The sequence below is a fragment of the Homo sapiens genome, chromosome 7 (assembly GCF_000001405.40).
Source record: "Homo sapiens chromosome 7, GRCh38.p14 Primary Assembly".
Classification (NCBI taxonomy): domain Eukaryota; kingdom Metazoa; phylum Chordata; class Mammalia; order Primates; family Hominidae; genus Homo; species Homo sapiens.
Window position 1 is genome coordinate 88,072,270 of NC_000007.14, and position 16,212 is coordinate 88,088,481.

The window sequence follows — 16,212 nt, forward strand, 5'->3', positions numbered from 1 at the left end:
TGCTGTAATTACATTCGTGCAGTGACTCATATTCTCTTAATGCCTAGATTTTATAATTCAAAGGGAAATGTTCCCTTGAAATTTGAAAGCCTGGAGGACTCAAAAGTAGTTTTTAGATTTTATTATTATTATTATTACTACTACTATTCCTACACCACAGCTAGTATTCCTCTGAGGAGTATTTGACTTAGGTGATTTTGATTTCACTCATGCTGGCTGCAGTAGTGGGGTTTGACTCATGTGACAGTGAGAGAGCAAGGGTCCCAAAGATGTCTAGCACAGGGATAGGGTGTTCTGCATTCAGGGACTTCAGCAGTGGAGATGTGGGGCTTTCACTCTGGTATTCACCACCGTACAGCTCAGTTTCTTTTAAGTGTCAACTTACTTTTGACTTTCTGTTTCTCTTTCCTTCATCAGCTGAATGATTTTTTTCTGAATTTACAAGTTCAGATTCCCAGGAGAGGGAACCTGGCTGGCTCTGCTGATAAACATGCCTCTGTATGATGATGTTTCTCTCCTACATCTGGGGAAGTTTTTAAGACTGATAGCAAGGTTGGAGGACAGTCCTTTGCAAACACCTGGCTAGTATCTCTCCTGTTTTGGGTAAACAGGGTGTGATGTGGATGCTGGAGCAATTACCAGTTTTGCCTGAGGCAGGTCTTTCCATATAATTTTACGTTTTTGTTATAAGCCCTTGGAAATTTGTGAAATATATAATATACTCATGATGAAGACAAAAAAAGAGACAATTTTCAATTGGATGTACAACAGGTACTTTCTTCACCACTCTCCTTTCCAACAATATTGTTCAGTTCTCTGTAAAGAATCATGATGGTCAAGGAAGGCCTGGCAGGAGAATCTTGATTGTTCAAAGACAAATGTTCTTGTCAAAGGATTGGTTTAGGAGTGGCCATATAATGTAATTCTGGCAGAAGATACTTGAGAAGATGAATGCTAAGAGCTATTTTTGAAAGGGCTTGTTCACTTTTAAAAATAAATACAAGGCTTTTTTTCTTTTTTTAATCTTGGAATAATGTATTTTCTATAAGATGGTGAGAATTGCAGCCATCATATCAGGGTCATGAGAGGAGCCAGTTAAGAGAGCCCCGGCTACCATGCTGAGGGCAGAGCAGAAAGTTGTAAACACCCCTCATCTCATTAATGGCACTGAGCCACCACGTGAGCCAACCCTGGAACTGCCCTGATGTCAGATGGGAAGATTACTTTGATGCAATGGTAGCCTCCAAGTATGCTTAGGTGAGCTATCCTAGAGGTGAGGGAACCAAAAGCTCCCACAGACTAAATTCCAATCCTCAAATCACGTAATTCACTAAATTAATTTAAAGTGCACAGTGAGAGGCAAGAGGAAAGATTATTAGGTTGGTATACCTGGGTTAGGGGCAAGTAGGGTAGAGGGGCCATGCCAGCTAATCCTGGGATACATAGTGTTCATGTTCATACATCTGCATATGCCTTCCCCACTGATGGTGTGGTTACAAGGACCAGAGTTGAGGTTTGGGCAAGCCCCAAAGATAGCAGTCGTCCCAAGCTAATAACACCTGCTCAAGTGTCTGAGAGATACTGGGACAAGTATGCCTAGTCAGTGGCTGTGGCTTGCCAGTTAGCCTCACAAACAGTCATGAGTTCTGTTATGTTTATTGGACAGATAACAAATGGAGCAGGAAAGAGTATCAGCAGTTGTTAATCAGGGTAATTTTGTACCCCAGTGTACATTTAGCAATGTCTGGAGACATTTTTGATTGTCATGACTGGTGTATGTAAGAGATGCTACTGGCATCTATTAGGTAGAATCTAGGGATGCTAAGTGTGCTACAGTGAACAAGACAGCCTCCCAAGACAAAGAATTATCTGGCCCAAAGTATCAATTGTGTCGAAGCTGAAAAACCCCCTCATGAATATTAAGTACATATGTATATTTAGTGTATCCTGGATATTTAGTGCCTCTTATATATTTAATATATCATGAACATTTATTACTCATATGCTTCAAGAGTAATTGACATTTCTTGATCTTGCAGCCCTTTCTGTCAGTGTGTAACACATATACAATCTTCTTTTTATACTTTATACATCTGTGAATTCTGTTCATGTCTTACTAGCAAAATATATACTGAAAATATCTTAAAAGGGTTTGCCTATATTTTATAAACATCAAATTTATTTATCAAGTAGAACTGAATATCCTCAAAAGCAAATTTATATTATGCTAGACCTGGAATTTCAAAGAAGAAATAAGATGATAAATGTCCTGATTGTTTAATATACTTTTTGTTGTGTTTTCTACAGCTTGCAGCTGAGAGCGTGCTAGCTGATTCTAACATAAAGTCAGTAAGAACATCTATTCTCAAGATAAATGAAGCATTGACTTAGACTATAATTACAAGTTTTCTAAATAGTAATATAAGTGTCAGATAATACAGGATTATGGTGCCTGCATTAATGTAATGCTTGTTTGATCGTTCTGTTTACATTTCAAGCAATTGTAGGCATGGTGCTTATCATGATGAACCTCTGTGCTCAAAAATGCACATTTTTAGATGATTGGAACAGTTTTAGTTTGATGACCTTCAGTTCACTTAAGGAGTTTTTAGTTGGCTCAATGTCTATTAATAGAGCAACACTAGAAATTTATAGCTTGATGCATTTTTTAAAATTTATTAATGATAGTTTTATTTATATTTTAGTGCTTTAAAAGATTAAAAATATTTTACGGAAGTTGTGTCTTGAGACCCCTCCATTAAAAGGGAAAGTTTTTCATATATATGAAATTAAAGAGAAGCATATTTAAGATTATAGAAACATGTAAATGTTGTTTAGGATTGATTTCAAAAAAGAATAATTTTCAAATGTTGATGGTATATATTCCATTTCATTTCTTTTAACTTTCTTTGCCTTTTTTTATTTTGTGATGAAAACTAACATTTTGTCAGATGAAAATATCACATATAACACATTAAAGAAATGGTAAGGCATAATATACAATTAAAACTGTTTGATAAAAAGTTAAAGTAAAAAATTAAGGACAATATGTCTTTAAAATAATGATGTGCTTACGGTAGTTTCCTGGAATTATTGGCTGGTTCAGCAGAATCAGCTGTGCTCAGCAATGGAGTGACAGGTGGTGTAGGCAGTTCAACCTCATGTCCTTTTAGAAATACTGGGTGTGTGTGTGTCTGTGTGTGTGTGTGAGTGTGAGAGAGAGAGAGAGACCTATAAAGTGTTGATTTGGGGGGCTTAAAGAATTGTTAAAGCAGATATGTGTAAACTAGATCCTGATTTTCGTGTTTTACATTTTTGGGATCCTCTTTAGTCATCATTTATTTTTGTTGTTGCAGTGATTTGCTGTCCTCTGAATACATAGAGAGACACATTGAACATGGAGGCAAGACTGTGGAAGTTAAAGTAAGTGAAATTTTCCTACTTGTGGGGAAATTTGTTGAGAATCTTTTAATACTACTGATTATTATTTTAATTTTCAATGATATTTCTAATGTACAGTTTTGAGGGTTTTAAAAATACTTTATAATTTGAAGTTTTATCACCCACTTTGGAAAAATGAAACTTTACTTTTAGTTATCAGAAAAAGAATTTTTAGGGTACTGTAGGAATTGCTAGACTTAATGTTTTGTAGGATTGCTATAGCTGCAAGTACTAGGTTGGTGCAAAAGTCCTTGTGGTTTTTGTCGTTACTTTTAATGGCAAAAACCCCAATTATTTTATTTTATTTTATTTTATTTTTTTGAGACAAAGTCTCGCTCTTGTCGCCCAGCTGGAGTGCAATGGCGCGATCTCAGCTCACTGCAACAGCGCGATCTCGGCTCACTGCAAGCTCTGCCTCCTGGGTTCAAGTGATTCTCCTGCCTCAGTCTCCCGAGTAGCTGGGATTACAGGCGCCTGCCACCACACCTGGCTAATTTTTGTATTTTTAGTGGACAGGGGGTTTCACCATGTTGGCCAGGCTGGTCTCGAACTTCAGACCTCAGGTGATCCACCCGCTCCGGCCTCCCAAAGTGCTGGGATTACAGGCATGAGCCAACGCGCCTGGGAAACCCCAGTGACTTTTACACCAACCTTTAGTTCTTTCTTAGATTATGTCACTGAAAGTAGTTTTTGAAATTTGCCTTTAATGTTACCCCTGAGAACCAAGAGGTGAAAACTTGGGTCCAGGGTAGGTGTTTGCCTTTGCATTCAGCTGTGTAAGATTCCCAGCCCTGCCGCCCCTCCACCCTGCCCCACCCCACACCTCCACCAGTAAAATGTAAAATTGTTAGATCTACAGGAGATCAAGGAGTTAAAAATACCTGGAGACAGAAATCTCAGGATACTGGTTATGACAGGTAAACTGTGAAAATATTAACACAAAAATAAAAGCCTCCACCAGCTAGAGGCATAAGAATGTGGCGGTTTTCCCCCAGATCTGCAGATGGTATAATCTGAGAGCATATGAAAACAAAAGCCACCCAAGTGTAGGGCTTCCTTCTGCTCAGTGTTTAGTATAGTGACTTTTGGCCAAGTGTTTATTTTCTTCTGAATAGTGTTCAGACTATCTATTCTACTTTATCTGAATTATAATCCCACTCGTTCATATTCATTTCCTTTTTCTAATTACAAATTAGATAAATGCTCATTTTAGAAAACTTGTAAACAGAGAAAAGTTGAACAAAAAAGGAAAACTTTATCCTTAAACTCATCACTGAGAGATAAATGTTTTCATTTTGTTATTTGAGTGTTTTTTGTCATATGCACACATTTGTATATATACATAGATATTTATATAGTATCATATGTAGCTACAATATTGTATCTGCTTGCTTCTGTATCATTTTGTAAACATTTGCCAAGTTATTTTCCCATAAAGCCTTTGTTCAGTTTTTTATGTACATTTATTACATAGTAAAGCTTTTTATTTAAACTGTTATCAGTAACCAAAATAAATTATATTGTCCTATTCAAATGACATTCTGAAGATAATTGAGTTTTTCCATTACATATATATGTAAACTAAAAGAAAACTTTTCATTATGGAAAAGTTTAAACAGACTTTGAAGTGAAAAGAATGCTATAATGAGGGTCGGGAGCCAAGATGGCTGAATAGAACAGCTCCAGTCTACAGCTCCCAGCGTGAGCGATGCAGAAGACGGGTGATTTCTGCATTTCCAACTGAGGTACCGGGTTCATCTCACTGGGGAGTGCTGGACAGTGGGTGCAGGACAATGGGTGCAGTGTACCGTGCGTGAGCCAAAGCAGTGCGAGGCATCGCCTCACCTGGGAAGTGCAAGGGGTCAGGGAATTCCCTTTCCTAGTCAAAGAAAGGGGTGACAGACGACACCTGGAAAATCGGGTCACTCCCACCCTAATACTGCGCTTTTCCAACGGGCTTAACAAACGGCACACCAGGAGATTATATCCCACACCTGGCTCAGAGGGTCCTACACCCACGGAGTCTCGCTGATTGCTAGCACAGCAGTCTGAGATCAAACTGCAAGGTGGCAGCTAGGCTGGGGGAGGGGCGCTCACCATTGCCCAGGCTTCAGTAGGTAAACAAAGCAGCCCAGAAGCTCGAACTGGGTGGAGCCCACCACAGCTCAAGGAGGCCTGCCTGCCTCTGTAGGCTCCACCTCTGGGGGCAGGGCACAGACAAACAAAAGACAGCAATAACCTCTGCAGACTTAAATGTCCCTGTCTGTCAGCTTTGAAGACAGTAGTGGTTCTCCTAGCACGCAGCTTAAGATCTGAGAACGGGCAGAATGCCTCCTCAAGTGGGTCTGTGACCCCCGAGTAGCCTAACTGGGAGGCACCCCCCAGTAGGGTCAGACTGATGGACTGACACCTCACACAGCTGGGTACTCCTCTGAGACAAAACTTCCAGAGGAACGATCAGGCAGCAGCATTTGCAATTCCCCAATATCCACTTTTCTGCAGCCACCACTGCTGATACCCAGGCAAACAGGGTCTGGAGTGGACCTCCAGTAAACTCCAACAGACCTGCAGCTGAGGGTCCTGACTATTAGAAGGAAAACTAACAGAAAGGACACCCACACCAAAAACCCATCTGTACATCACCATCATCAAAGACCAAAGATAGATAAAACCACAAAGATGGGGAAAAAACAGAGCAGAAAAACCAGAAACTCTAAAAATCAGAGTGCCTCTCTTCCTCCAAAGGAGCGCAGCTCCTCGCCAGCAACGGAACAAAGCTGGACGGAGAATGACTTTGACGAGTTGAGAGAAGAAGGCTTCAGGAGATCAAACTACTCCGAGCTAAAGGAGGAAGTTTGAACCAATGGCAAAGAAGTTAAAAACTTTGAAAAAAAATTAGACGAATGGATAACTAGAATAACCAATGCAGAGAAGTCCTTAAAGGACCTGATGGAGCTGAAAACCATGGCACGAGAACTGCATGACGAATGCACAAGCCTCAGTAACCGATGTGATCAACTGGAAGAAAGGGTATCAGTGATGGAAGATGAAATGAATGAAATGAAGCGTGAAGAGAAGTTCAGAGAAAAAAGAATAAAAAGAAATGAGCAAAGCCTCCAAGAAATATGAGACTATGTGAAAAGACCAAATCTACGTCTAATTGGTGTACCTGAAAGTGACGGGGAGAATGGAACCAAGTTGCAAAACACTCTGCAGGATATTATCCAGGAGAACTTCCCAATCTAGCAAGGCAGGCCAACATTCAAATTCAGGAAATACAGAGAATGCCACAAAGATACTGCTCGAGAAGAGCAACTCCAAGACACATAATTGTCAGATTTACCAAAGTTGAAATGAAGGAAAAAATGTTAAGGGCAGCCAGAGAGAAAGGTCGGGTTACCCACAAAGGGAAGCCCATCAGACTAACAGCTGATCTCTTGGCAGAAACTCTACAAGCCAGAAGAGAGTGGGGGCCAATATTCAACATTCTTAAAAATAAGAATTTTCAACCCAGAATTTCATAACCAGCCAAACTAAGCTTCATAAGTGAGGGAGAAATAAAATACTTTATAGACAAGCAACTGCTGAGAGATTTTGTCACCACCAGGCCTGCCCTACAAGAGCTCCTGAAGGAAGCACTAAACAGGGAAAGGAACAACCGGTACCAGCCGCTGCAAAAACATGCCAAATTGTAAAGACCATCGAGGCTAGGAAGAAACTGCATCAACTAACGAGCAAAATAACCAGCTAACATCATAATGACAGGATCAAAATCACACATAACAATACTAACCTTAAATGTAAATGGGCTAAATGCTCCAATTAAAAGGCACAGACTGGCAAATTGGATAAAGAGTCAAGACCTATCAGTGTGCTGTATTCAGGAAACCCATCTCATGTGCAGAGACACACATAGGCTCAAAGTAAAGGGATGGAGGAAGATCTACCAAGCAAATGGAAAACAAAAAATGGCAGGGGTTGCAATCCTACTCTTGGATAAAACAGAGTTTAAACCAACAAAGATCAAAAGAGACAAAGAAGGCTATTACATAATGGTAAAGGGATCAATTCAACAAGAAGAACTAAGTATCCTAAATATATATGCACTCAATACAGGAGCACCCAGATGCATAAAGCAAGTCCTGAGTGACCTACAAAGAGACTTAGACTCCCACACAATAATAATGGGAGACTTTAACACCCCACTGTCAACATCAGACCGATCAACGACACAGAAAGTTAAGAAGGATATCCAGGAATTGAATTCAGCTCTGCACCAAGCAGACCTAATAGACATCTACAGAACTCTCCACCTCAAATCAACAGAATATACATTCTTTTCAGCACCACAGCACACCTATTCCAAAATTGACCACATAGTTGGAAGTAAAGCACTCTCAGCAAATGTGAAAGAACAGAAATTATAACAAACTGTCTCCCAGACCACAGTGCAATCAAACCAGAACTCAGGATTAAGAAACTCACTCAAAACCGCTCAACTACATGGAAACTGAACAACCTGCTCCTGAATGACTACTGGGTACATAATGAAATGAAGGCAGAAATAAAGAGGTTCTTTGAAACCAACGAGAACAAAGATACAACATACCAGAATCCCTGGGACACATTCAAAGCAGTGTGTAGAGGGAAATTTATAGCACTAAATGTCCACAAGAGAAAGCAGGAAAGGTGTAAAATTGACACCCTAACATCACAATTGGAAGAACTAGAAAAGCAAGAGTAAACACATTCAAAAGCTAGCAGAAGGCAAGAAATAACTAAAATCAGAGCAGAACTGAAGGAAATAGAGACACAAAAAGCCCTTCAAAAAATCAATGAATCCAGGAGCTGGTTTTTTTTAAAAGATCAACAAAATTGATAGACCGTTAGCAAGACTAATAAAGAAGAAAAGAGAGAAGAATCAAATAGACGCAATAAAAAATGACAAAGGTGATATCTCCACCGATCCCACAGAAATACAAACTACCATCAGAGAATACTACAAACACCTCTATGCAAATAAACTAGAAAATCTAGAAGAAATGGATAAATTCCTTGACACATACACTCTCCCAAGACTAAACCAGGAAGAAGTTGAATCTCTGAATAGACCAATATTGAAATTGAGGCAATAATTAATAGCTTACCAACCAAAAAAAGTCCAGGACCAGATGGATTCACAGCTGAATTCTACCAGAGGTACAAGGAGGAACTGGTACCATTCCTTCTGAAACTATTCCAATCAATAGAAAAAGAGGGAATCCTCCCTAACTCATTTTATGAGGCCAGCATCATCCTGATACCAAAGCCTGGCAGAGACACACAAAAAAAGAGAATTTTAGATCAATAACCTTGACGAACATTGATGCAAAAATCCTCAATAAAATACTGGCAAACCGAATCCAGCAACACATCAAAAAACTTATCCACCGTGATCAAGTGGGCTTCATCCCTGGGATGCAAGGCTGGTTCAACATACAAAAATCAATAAACGTAATCCAGCATATAGACAGAACCAAAGACAAAAACCACATGATTATCTCAATAGATGCAGAAAAGGCCTTTGACAAAATTCAACAGCCCTTCATGCTAAAAACTCTCAATAAATTAGGTATTGATGGGACGTATCTCAAAATAATAAGAGCTATCTATAACAAACCCACAGCCAATATCATACTGAATGGGCAGAAACTGGAAGCATTCCCTTTGAAAACCGGCACAAGACAGGGATGCCCTCTCTCACCACTCCTATTCAACATAGTGTTGGAAGTTCTGGCTAGGGCAGTCAGGCAGGAGAAGGAAATAAAGGGCATTCAATTAGGAAAAGAGGAAGTCAAATTGTCCCTGTTTGCAGATGACATGATTGTATATCTAGAAAACCCCATTGTCTCAGCCCAAAATCTCCTTAAGCTGATAAGCAACTTCAGCAAAGTCTCAGGATACAAAATCAATGTCCAAAAATCACAAGCATTCTTATACACCAATAACAGACAGAGAGCTAAATCATGAGTGAACTCCCATTCACAATTGCTTCAAAGAGAATAAAATACCTAGGAATCCAACTTACAAGGGATGTGAAGGACCTCTTCAAGGAGAACTACAAACCACTGCTCAAGGAAATAAAAGAGGATACAAACAAATGGAAGAACATTCCATGCTCATGGGTAGGAAGAATCAATATCGTGAAAATGGCCATACTGCCCAAGGTAATTTATAGATTCGATGCCATCCCCATCAAGCTACCAATGACTTTCTTCACAGAATTGGAAAAAACTACTTTAAAGTTCATATGGAACCAAAAAGAACCCACATTGCCACGTGAATCCTAAGCCAAAAGAGCAAAACTGGAGGCATCATGCTACCTGACTTCAAACTATACTACAAGGCTACAGTAACCAAAACAGTATGGTACTGGTACCAAAACAGACATATAGACCAATGGAACAGAACAGAGCCCTCAGAAATAACGCCGCATATCTACAACTATCTGATCTTTGACAAACCTGAGAAAAACCAGCAATGGGGAAAGGATTCCCTATTTAGTAAATGGTGCTGGGAAAACTGGCTAGCCATAAGTAAAAAGCTGAAACTGGATCCCTTCCTTACACCTTACACAAAAATTAATTCAAGATGGATTAAAGACTTAAATGTTACACCTAAAACCATAAAAACCCTAGAAGAAAACCTAGGCAATACCATTCAGGACATAGGCATGGGCAAGGACTTCATGTCTAAAACACCAAATGCAATGGCAACAAAAGCCAAAATTGACAAGTGGGATCTAATTAAACTAAAGAGCTTCTGCACAGCAAAAGAAACCACCATCAGAGTGAACAGGCAACCTACAAAATGGGAGAAAATTTTTGCAGCCTACTCATCTGACAAAGGGCTAATATCCAGAATCTACAATGTACTCAAACAAATTTACAAGAAAAAAACAAACAACCCCATCAAAAAGTTTGCAAAGGATATGAACAGACACTTCTCAAAAGAAGACATTTATGCAGCCAAAAAACACATGAAAAAATGCTCACCATCACTGGCCATCAGAGAAATGCAAATCAAAACCACAATGAGATACCATCTCACACCAGTTAGAATGGCGATCATTAAAAAGTCAGGAAACAACAGGTGCTGGAGAGGATGTGGAGAAATAGGAACACTTTTACACTGTTGGTGGGACTGTAAACTAGTGCAACCATTGTGGAAGTCAGTGTGGCGATTCCTCAGGGATCTAGAACTAGAAATGCCATTTGACCCAGCCATCCCATTAGTGGGTATATACCCAAAGGATTATAAATCATGCTGCTATAAAGACACATGCACATGTATGTTTATTGTGGCACTATTCACAATAGCAAAGAGTTGGAACCAACCCAAATGTCCAACAACGATAGACTGGATTAAGAAAATGTGGCACACATACATCATGGAATACTATGCAGCCATAAAAAATGATGAGCTCATGTCCTTTGTAGGGACATGGATGAAGCTGGAAACCATCATTCTCAGCAAACTATTGCGAGGACAAAAAACCAAACACCGCATGTTCTCACTCATAGGTGAGAATTGAACAGTGAGAACACATGGACACAGGAAGGGGACCTTTACACACTGGGGACTGTTGTGGGGTGGGGGACTGGGGGAGGGATAGCATTAGGAGATATACCTAATGCTAAATGATGAGTTAATGGGTGCAGCACACCAACATGGCACATGTATACATATGTAACAAACCTGCACGTTGTTCCCATGTACCCTAAAACTTAAAGTATATAAAAAAAAGAATGCTATAATGAAACCCCCCATTCCCATCATCCAGCATCAATAGTTATCAACACTTTGACTATCTTTTTTTTCTCTTTTTACTTTGTGTTTGTGTGTGTGTGTGTGTGTGTGTGTGTGTGTGTGTGTGTGTGTGTGTATGTGTAGTATTTTAAAGCAAATTCCAGACTTTAGGACATTTTGTCAGTAAATACCTCCTGTATACCTATACATTTCTAATTCATAATGACTTAAAATCTGGTAATTCTTGTAAGCGACCTAGATGTAATAATTATGCCTGTCTCTCCAGAAAGTTATTCGGAACTGAAGATTGGTGAATTGAATGGTGGATTAATTTATATTACTGCCTCCCTACAGAAAGGACAGGATTCATCTAGATATAACATGGGAGAATGGAGCCATTTTGTTTATAGTTGGGAAAAAAAAATTACCTAGGGCTAGAATCTCCAGGTCCTTTTATTCCCATCCCTTTTCATTTGGCTTCACTTCTCTATTTTGTATGATAATGTTTTTCTGATGTAGAGTATCTCTTATTCCCTTGTTAAATTAAAGAGGAAAGGAAACAGGCCATTCACTATCTATTTCTATCTGTGTCTGTCAGTGGAATGATGAAATGCAAATAGGAGCATGGAGGGTGGACCCAGCAGACAGCTCTCTGCTGTCTCTACAGTAATATCCTTTTTCAGAAAAATTGTACCTAATCAGCAAAGTGCACTTCACTCTGGGATCTTAAGGCTCCTTGGGTATACGTAACTCATGAAGCGCTGACTTTGCTGCACAATCTTTGCTGATTTTCCAACCTGAGATTTGCAGTTTCTTTGTTGATGGTTTTTCTAACCCCTAAGCCTGTCATACCAGGGAAATGATAAATACAAACTTTGTCCAGACTGAAGGGCCAGTGGTGGTTTATTTTTCCCTTTAAGAAAACTGCTTTGATCTCACCTGTCACCTCCATTTGTTTCCACTCCATTTGAAAATCTAACTCAAAATTCTCCTCTGGGTTTTTCCAGGAACCACATTGAAAATGCTGAATTCTGCCCATCAATCCAAAGTCAGTAGCCAATTATTTCTCTGCTGGTTCCCTCCTGTCTCGACTTCTGTGCTTAGCTCTTTGAGATGTTTCTTTTTACATGAAATCTGATAGAAGTCTATTTTCTTTATTAATGACTCATTAATACATTATAAATCAAAGTTGTAACGTTTTATATTTTTTCCTTCCCTGCAGTACCTTTTTAAAAAGCAACTCTTAAAACTTTTACTTCTTTACCTTCCATGTTAGTTTGCTAAAGCTACCATAACAAAGTACCACAGACTGGGTGGCTTAAACAATAGAAATGTATGTTCTCTCAATTCTGAAAGCTAGAAGTCCAAGATCAAGATGTTGACAGGGTTGGTTTCTGCCGAGGCCTCTCTCCTTGGTTTGTGCATGGTTTTCTTCCTGTGTCTTCACATGGCTTTCCCTCTGTGTATATCTGCATCCTAATCTCTTCTTGTGAGAACATCATTCCTATTGAACTAGGACCCAACCTAATAACCCTGTTTTAACTGCGTTACCTCTTTAGAGACCCTGTCTCTACATACAGTTATATTCTGAGGTATTAGGGGTTAGGACTTTAACATATGCATTTTGGGGGAACACAATCCACCTGTAACACCTTCCTTAAGAGCCCTGTAAGTTTTTTTGTTTTTTCTTAAAGTTGGCTTTTCTCTTGGGACTGAAGTAAATGAAAGGAAATATGAAATCAAAGCTAAACTCTAAGAGCTTCTTGTGTCAGTTTGCACAAGCATGGCCATATGTATCCTAAGGATGCAAATTTAAAATTAAAGTGTTATTCCAAATTTAACAATGGCTAGAAACCAGTTGATAAATGGCTGTACTCAGGTGTCTTTGAACTTTTGGTAAAGAATACATTTTTCAGGAAAAAACATTTTTAAAAAAGAGCTGGATGCAGTGTCATGCCTGTTTGCACCTACCAAGGAGGCTGAGGTGGGAGGATCACTTGAGCTCAAGAGTTCAAAGCCAGCCTGGGTAACATAGCAAGAGACTGTCTTGAACAACAACAACAAAATCATGATAAATCTTTTAGATTGCAATTTTATTTTTAAAAACCTATATGGTAAAATATACAACTGACACAGAAATTCACATAAAACATGTATGGGTTGATGAAATACTAAAGGCAAACAATTTTATATTGACCATTCAGTTCAAGAAATAAAGCTCGGCCAGCTGTTTATTTGCTGCATCCCAAGCCCTTTTCATCCTCCTCTTGTAAGATTTGTAAACACTATCCTGACTTTTATCATAACCCCTTCCTTGCTTTTGTTTATAGTTTTATCACCAAAGCATGTACCCCTACAGTTTAATTTTGGCTGTGTAGGTTTTAAAAATAATTTTTGCCTGGGCACAGTGGCTCACGCCTGTAATTCCAGCACTTTGGGAGGCCGAAGCAGGGGGATCACGACGTCAGGAGATCGAGACCATCATGGCTAACACGGTGAAACCCCGTCTCTACTAAAAATACAAAAAATTAGCTGGGCGTGGTGGCATGCACCTGTAATCCCAGCTACTCAGGAGGCTGAGGCAGGAGAATCGCTTGAACTCAGGAGTTGGAGGTTGCAGTGAGCTGAGATTGCGCCACTGCACTCCAGCCTGGGCGACAGAGCAAGACTCTGTCTCAAAAATAAAATAAAATAATAATGTTTTAAAAATTATCTTTCTCTTTTGTCCCCCCCTTGCAATTTATTTGTTGAAGAAACCAGATTGTTTATCCTATGTAATTTCCTACAATCTGGATTTTGATGTTGATTGCAATTTTGTATTTAGTGTAAAAACAGACACATTTTGGTGATTGTTCCTTAACATAATGATTTGTGTTATCTGCAGGGACATCATCAGCCTCATTGAAATCAGTTTATCTTGTTCATGTAGCTGTGCATAATTCTGATATAAAAGTTATATTAAAACTTAAAAAGAATTTTTTTCAAAGGTTACAAAAATAAAGTCTTTATGCAAGAAAAGAAAGATACTTTTTATTCCTTTAATGGGACATATTAATCTTTCACTTACGTTTATTTTCAATCCATTTAAAAATTAAATTCTTAATTTACTCATCTGTTCAGGGAGAACTTTTATATGATTGACACGGACTTCTAAAAGAATTTTAAAGTAAAGCCTCAACTAATCAGAATACCTTGGGAATACAACTTTAATTCTGATTATGGAGAACCATCGTTCTGGATTCATAAGACAAAGGACATTGGAATTGATGAGTAGTGGCAGCAGAGTCTCAGCCATGCAGTTTGCTGCTTTATAGCTTGTTTTGTCTTGAAACAGAAAGCTGCTAATATATGGGGCTAATTGAAATGAACAGTTATATAGGCTTTAGTTAATCAGTATTATAATGCTAACAGTAATAACTATTTATTACAGTAATAACTTTTATTGTATGATGTGATAGTCACATAAATTTGTATGTACCATTCAATCCTCAAGACAACCTGTAAATACAACTATTATCCTAATTTACAGAAACGAGACACAGAGAAGATATACAACTTGTGAAAGTAACGTAGTAAGGAGTAATAAAGCTGCAGTTTGAATCTAGATTCTCTAACTCCAGAGCTGACTCTTACATGTATAATATTTTATATACTATACAATGTACACCATACATTCGGTGTACATTCTATAATATGTAAAATAAGAGGCATAAAAATTGAAATGTATTTTATTTTTATACTCATGGTATACATATCTAATTCATTTTTGGTATCTAACAATTTCTCCTTTATGGTCTTTAATCCTTAAACTGAAATGGTGATCTACATCAAGACCCTTTAGGCATTTCTCTCAAATTCAGTTATGCATTTAGGTAGTTTTTCTGTAATATCAGTTGCCTTGGGCAAGAATGGTAAAAGACACACTCCAGGCCAAAGCTTGTTTTATTTTTGTTTGAATGAACGTATGAGGAAAATAACCATAGTATGAATTTTAGAAAACTAAGAGAGGAATGTCAAATCCTTTATATAGGTCAGGAATGTGTGTAGATGGGGCAGGGAACAGATTTTCTTGTGGCCAAAAAGTAAAAGTAGACATCTTTGTAGAGATATGATTTATTATATCACCAATGAAAGATCATGACAGTCAGGCATATTCTGACTATTAGCATTGTTCTGATAATATTTCTTGGTGAAATTATTTGATCTGATATGATTATAGTAAAAAGTAATCATCAGTGAATGTCTATGTGTATTAGCTCAAGTTATTTCTAAACTACTGTATATGAGCATTCCCAACTTGTCTTAGGATTAGATTCCTAATCCTTAACGATGAGTTTGTACAGAGACATCCGTTACACAATATTGACTTTTGACTGGTAATTAACTGTTTACGACTCATCATTTGATTGAATTGAGTGCACTCAAGAATCACTGCATCAAAATCTTAATTGTATTCATAGTTGCAGTAAAAAGATGAATAAGTAAGCAAAGGAGTGCGGGCCACCATTGAAGTCTGGAAATGAGTAAAGGAATTGGAGAGAGTGCTGTGCGTTGAAGGGCAGTTGTCAGAGGAGAAAGGAATACATAAGGGTGGGAGAGGTTATTATGACTCTAGGGAACCTTTTACTCTGGTGGTAGTATAGTTACATTCAATGACATAAAAGTTATATTTATTTAGGAAAACTGAAAATGGCCACTATCATCTGTGGAAACAAAGTAACAAGGAATTTGAGTTAGTAGCAAGGAGGAAGCCTGAGTTTTTATCCAGAATAGTTTTCTGCTTCTGTTCACATCTGTCTTCCCTCCCTGGGGTGGGAGCCCCATGATAGATTTCTAACTTAGCACAATACCATCTCCCAGCAGGCACCTATGCTGCTAGCAGAGTCTCTAGATTCCTTTTGTGCTCATTTTTCTAAGTCAGATTTCCATTTCTTCTTTCTTAAAAAAGGGATACCTTTTAAAAATCCTGCCTTAATCGTTTAG

General features: G+C 38.5%; 1 protein-coding gene across 32 annotated transcripts in view, besides 2 other annotated features; it reads left to right on the plus strand.

Moving 5' to 3' along the window:
• ADAM22 (ADAM metallopeptidase domain 22) overlaps positions 1-16,212 on the plus strand; it is a 268,639-nt gene that overhangs the window by 138,019 nt on the left and 114,408 nt on the right. For all 32 annotated transcript variants that reach the window (XM_017012330.3, NM_001391975.1, XM_017012335.3 and 29 more), the window contains one exon: positions 3,357-3,423. In XM_017012330.3, coding sequence (XP_016867819.1) covers positions 3,357-3,423 — 67 coding nt within the window. The remainder of the gene's footprint in view (positions 1-3,356; positions 3,424-16,212) is intronic.
• Positions 365-514: an enhancer, noted in NCBI's record as "active region_26238". NCBI's record gives its function as "activates an Ori minimal core promoter by ATAC-STARR-seq in GM12878 lymphoblastoid cells {active_cell/tissue: GM12878}" and the evidence as "EXISTENCE:reporter gene assay evidence [ECO:0000049][PMID:35858748]".
• Positions 525-624: an enhancer, noted in NCBI's record as "active region_26239". NCBI's record gives its function as "activates an Ori minimal core promoter by ATAC-STARR-seq in GM12878 lymphoblastoid cells {active_cell/tissue: GM12878}" and the evidence as "EXISTENCE:reporter gene assay evidence [ECO:0000049][PMID:35858748]".